We start from the raw sequence: 6,000 nt of genomic DNA, 5'->3' as shown, positions 1-6,000 counted from the left end.
CTCATTAATGAGTGAAACAATGAGTGTCATGGTCTGAACTGTGTTCCCCTCCCCAAACCCGTATGTTCAAGCCCTAACCCCTAGTTATACACATAAGGTAAATGAAACCTTATTTGGACACAAAGTTTTTGCAGATGTAATCAAGCTAAAATTATGTCTGTAGGTGGGACTTAAAATAACATGGGCTGTCTTTATAAGAAGAGGGAACAGAAACAGATAGGATGTGGAGAGGACCATGTGAAGAGAGAAGCTGAGACTGAAAAGGATTTATGTATTAATATTGACAGAAGCCAAGGAACACCATCTGAAGTTCTGATGGCAACATCAGAAGCTAAGAGAAAGGCATGGAAAAGATTCTCACCTAGAGCATCCAGAGGAGAGGTTGGTCCTGCAGACACCTTGTTTTCTGACCTCTGACCTCCGCAACTGTGAGGGAAGAAATTTCTGTTGCTTAAAGACACACAGCTTGTGGTACTTCATTATAGCAGCCCAAGGTAACTAATATAGATGACAAAATTGGTTCCAAGGGTGTTTGAGGAACTGGACCTTTATAGGCATTATTTTCATAATACTGCATTAAGCTATGATAACTGGATTAGATTCAAAATTGGATAATGCCCTAAATGCAATAAAGCTATAATTTTGAGATAAAATTTTAATAGCTTTATGAGATATAATTAACATCTGGTATACTGCACATTTTTGAGGTGTGAAATTTTTAAACATTAACATACGTATATACTTGTAAAACTATCACACTAGAAAGAGATCTCAAGCCTCTTCTTTTGACTTTCAACACATTGTCAATCCAGTACTAATCTGGTTTTATTACCATATATTAGCTTTTATTTTCTACAATTATATATCAGTAGAATTATAGAGTATGAATTCTTTTTGTCTTTTTTCCTTAAGCATAATATTTTTGAGATTCAACAATTTCTTGCATGTTGAAGTAGCACTTTTTTATTGTTACATATTATTTCATTTCATAGACATACCACTATAATTTATTTACTAAACTCTTGACCAGAGGTTCTCAAATGAGGGACATTTTACCTGCCAGGGGACATTTCCAATGTTTGGGGACACTTCTGGTTATCAGAGGTTTGTGGAGGAGGGGATAGAGTGTCCACAGGCCAGGGTTCCACAAAGGATAGCTCCCCACAACAAAGAATTAAGCCACTTCAACAGCTAATAGTGCTGAACTTGAGAACGCCGCTCTTGGTGGACAGTTGCATGGTGTCTGTTTTTGACAATAATGAATAAAGGTACTTGTGCAAGCCTTTTTACAGACTTATGCTTTTCTCCCCCCTAGGATAAATGCCTAGGGGTAGAATTGGTACATGTAAGGTAGATTTAGTTATCCAAAGTAGCTGTACTGTGTTACACTCCCACCGTCAATGTATGCAAACTCTAGAGTCTGGTTTCTTGACATCTATGCCAAATATTGGTAACACAATTTTTAAAATAGTAGCTTTTCTAGTAGATGTGTATAATTATCTCATTTTATTTTTTATTACTAACGATATTAAGAAATTTTTCATTTGCTTATTTGCTATTATATCATTTTTGTGTAGCATCTGTTAGTTTTTATAGCTCTCTTGTTTCTATGTTGTACATTATATTTATATATTCTTGCTCTTATTCATAATAAATAGTATATATAATTGTGTAATTAAAAATAAACATTAAAGTATAAATATATTTACACATTTCTGTAGTTTATCATTATATAATTATTGCTTTCTGAATAAAAAGAAATGTATCCACAGTTTGGATAAAAAGAAATGCTTTCATGTAGTTTACTAAGACATTTTCTGTGCTTTATATTTGAAGCCTATGCTTTCACTTTTACACATTGTTCCATAATATATTTTGGACTCCTTTAATTTTGAACTCATTCACGCTTTTGTTGTGAGGAAGGACTTGAGGTTTGTTTTCTTCACATTTATCTCGTAGTTCTGCACACTTTGTTAAATAAAATTATCTTTCCCCTTTGAATAACTGCAGTATCTTTGATATTATATTATTCATATAAGCATGGATCTATTTGTGAACTCTATTCCATTCCATTACTCTAATTGTTTATCCATCTACTAATAACACATTCTCTCGATGACTATAGCTTTAAGTTATTGCATGGTGTTAGGAAGTGTGAGTATTCCAACTTTTTTTTCAGCTTTCTATCATTTGTTTTTGCTCTCTTGATGTACATTTTTAAATCAGTGTGTCAATTTATATAAAAATATCTTTTGTGATTATGGTGAGGATTTCTAGAATGATTAATTTGGAAAAACCAAAACCTTTTACACACTAAAATTCACTGAACTTTCAAGCCATGATTATTGTATTAGTTTGTTCCGGCATTGCTATAGAGAAATACAGAAGATTCAACAATTTATGAAGAAAAGAGGTTTAATTGCCCCACTGTTCTGCAGGCTATACAGGAAGGATGATGCTGGCATCTACTTAGCTTCTGGGAAGACTCAGGAAACGCACAATCATGGCAGAAAGCAAAGGGGGACAGGCACGTCACATGGCCAGAACAGCAAGAGAGTGAAAGGGGAAGCTGCTACACACTTTTAAATGACCAGATCTCATGAGAACTCACTCACTCACTATTATGAGAACAGTATCAAGAGGGATGATGCTGAACCACTCATGAGAAATCCACCCCATGATCCAATCACCTCCCATCAGGCCTCACCTCTAACATTGGAGATTACATCATACCAGATTTGGGCAGGGACACACATCAAAACCATCAATTATTGTATGCGACTCCATTTATTTAGAACTTTCCTACATCTCCCAACACTTTTGCTAGTTTCCTATTTAGAGAGATCTTGCATGTAATTTGTTAAAATCATATATACATATTTTATTTTTATTAGTATTTTACATGGATTTGATTTTTATCATTAATTGCTCATTGGAAATATATAGAAATAAGTTAATGGGTTGACTTATTTTTTCTATGATGTGGCTAAAATTACTAGTTTATTCCAGCAGCTGATTTTTACAGTCACTAGAAGTTTATGTGTAGGTAATGGAGTTGTTTAAAAATTTAGAATTGTATTTTTCATTTCTTAACTGTGTATGTTTTACTTATTTATTTGATTTGTCTCACTGGTTAATTCCTCCCATACAGTAGAGAGAACAATAGTGAAAGAGGACACTTTGTCTTCTTCTGGATCTTAAATGAATAATTTATTAGTTCAAACTTCAGTGTGATATTTCCGTAGATGCCTTCTATTTGCTTAAGGATGCTTCTTTGTATTCTATTGGGGCGAGATATTTTTATTATAATTCTATCTTGAAAATGCCAAATGTTTTTTCTGCCTCAGAGGAAGTTTATATATTTTTTTCATTTTACTCAGTTAATGTGGTGAGTTTGAAAATTCAAATACTTGAAAAATCACGTTCCCATCAAACACTGCTTCTTACTGTCCCTTTCTAAGAGGACTACCTTCAACTTGGGCATTTAGAGGATACTTCCCTTCCTATAGCTCAGGGTTTTTTTGTATTTTTTTTATGTTTAAATTTTAGTGATATTTCTTTTATGTGTTTTTAAAATATTTTATGGGCTACTGCATTGACCCATTTGTTTCAACTTTACAGCTCTAGTTAAATATAAAAATTAATAAAATGTCAACACTCAAGTATTACATATATCCCTTGATCTGGTGATTTAGGACTATGAGAAAAATGCTCAATTTCCCTCGATAGAAGGAAGTATGAACTTTTTTATTTATTTATTACTGTAGTCTCACAGCCTAAAAATCAGTAGGTCTCCACTGGTCAGCAAGCAAATGATCATGATTGTTTTTCTGAATTTTTGACAATTTCAGAATAGGCAAGAAAGCTAAGTTTTAAAAATAAAATGCCAACATCAAGAATTTAAAATCAAATTCGTCACAGTGAATCCCAACAGGAAATAGTTCTTCATTTTATGATTACTCAGAGATTTTGCTTGTTGTAGTGGTCTTCCTTCTGGCTCATAATTTTTTGCTACTCTGCAGCAGAAATAATAAGAAATATTTTCCCAGTCCACAGCGGTGAAGGAGAAGAAAACTATAAATCAAAAGTAGCATATTCTGTGGATCATTTATTGAAATAAACACAGTGAGTACAAGATGGGTAATCTATTTGCATAATCAAAGACACCCTTCATCTGTGTCTATTTTTCTCTTTTCTTTTCTTTTCTTTTTTTTTTTTTTTTTTTGAGACAGAGTCTCACTCTGTTACCCAGGTTGGAGTGCAGTGGCATGATCTTGTCTCACTGCAGACTCCGCCTCTCGGGTTCCAGCAATCTTCCTGCCACAGCTTCCTGAGTAGCTGGCATTACAAGGTATGGGCCACCATGCCCGGCTAATTTTTGTATTTTTATTAGAGATGGGGTTTCGCTATGTTGGCCAGACTGGTCTTGAACTCCTGGCCTCAAGTGATCTGCCCGCCTCAGCCTACCAAAGTGCTGGGTTACAGGCATGAGCGACTTGCCTGGCTATGTCTATTTTTAACATAGTTATAGTGAACTATAATTATTTTTACACAAAAACTATTCTTACAAATGTTATATGTATTTTAAGAGCATACAAACTTACAGGTTTTTTTATTTAATAAAAACCAGTGGCAGATTGATAATGCAGAATATATTATTTATAAAAAATCATTTGTTGTCATACAAACATATATTTTATTTGAAAATTATACTTTTGAATAGCTTTTTGGAAAGTTAAAGTATTCTCATTTATTGCATACGTTTGTCACCAAAATTATACGAAAGAGTGTTTGATTCAAAATGTGTGTGTGTGTGTGTTCCTATATAGGACCCAGATAACACATATATATTAAATAAATAAATACATGTATATATATATATCATGCACACACATTTAAATATAATGTAAATGTGTGTGTGTGTGTGTGTGTGTGTGTGTGTATGTGTATGTGTATGTGTATGCAGATGCCCCTCTGGAAACAAATTTAAAAAGAATCCCCTCTTTTGAGTGTATAAAGAAGTTCCTTTCTTAAGGAATGGATAACAGGGGTTGGTACTTTGGCTGAATTCCTCTTCCTCTTACTTTCATTAGACTTGGCACTGTTGCATAGAACACAATTTTCCAAAATGTAATGTCTGTGTTATGCCTACAAATGTACCATACATAACAATTTGTCATTTTCTGTAATTACATACTGACCTATTTAACATTTATCTAACCACTTATATATCTTAATCAAAATAAATCAACCCATGTAAATTGTTTATTTCTATTGTCTTTCTCAGTATAATGCACAAGATACCTTTCTATCTCTATATGTATTTGTCATTTTCATGTCTGTCCCTACATGAGTTGACTCTATTTTTCTGTTACATAGATATGTGATGTTAGTACAATATATGTTAACTAAAAATGGATGATGCAACCTTTTAAAATTATGACCATCGCAGTGAAAATTATGTCTCTAAAACCCAATGACCACAGGGACATTCCAGTTTTTAGAAAAATATCAGGGGCTTAGGTATTTTCAGATTAAATTAGGAAAAATAGAGTATCTTTCCATTTATTTATGTGGGCAAATTTCCCATTTGTTCACATTAAATCTTTTAATGGCATATTGCCTAAATCTTTCTCAGAAAAGCTTAGCCAAATTGCCTAGGATGTTTCCTTTCTCCCATATTACCATCACTGTTTACCATCATATTTCTAATAATTTTAATTTTGGAACATGAAAATGGTATTTCAATTTAAATGCGTATGTTTTTCTATTTGCAAAGAGATTAAACATCTCTTCAAGTTTTTAAACTATATGCAGCCCTTCTTTTCTGCCATACCTGTTCATTTCCTCAAGCTATTTTTCCATCAGACAGTTTCATGTTTTCTCATTGATTTGAAGCTTCTATTAAAGTATTGTATACACATGGGTAAATGCACATAAGTTTAAAGCTTAGTGAGTTTTAAAATACTATGATCATCCAGAATAAGAAAATGTAATAGT

The sequence above is a fragment of the Homo sapiens genome, chromosome 5 (genome assembly GCF_000001405.40).
Source record: "Homo sapiens chromosome 5, GRCh38.p14 Primary Assembly".
Taxonomy (NCBI): Eukaryota; Metazoa; Chordata; class Mammalia; order Primates; family Hominidae; genus Homo; species Homo sapiens.
This window is presented reverse-complemented; position numbering follows the sequence as displayed.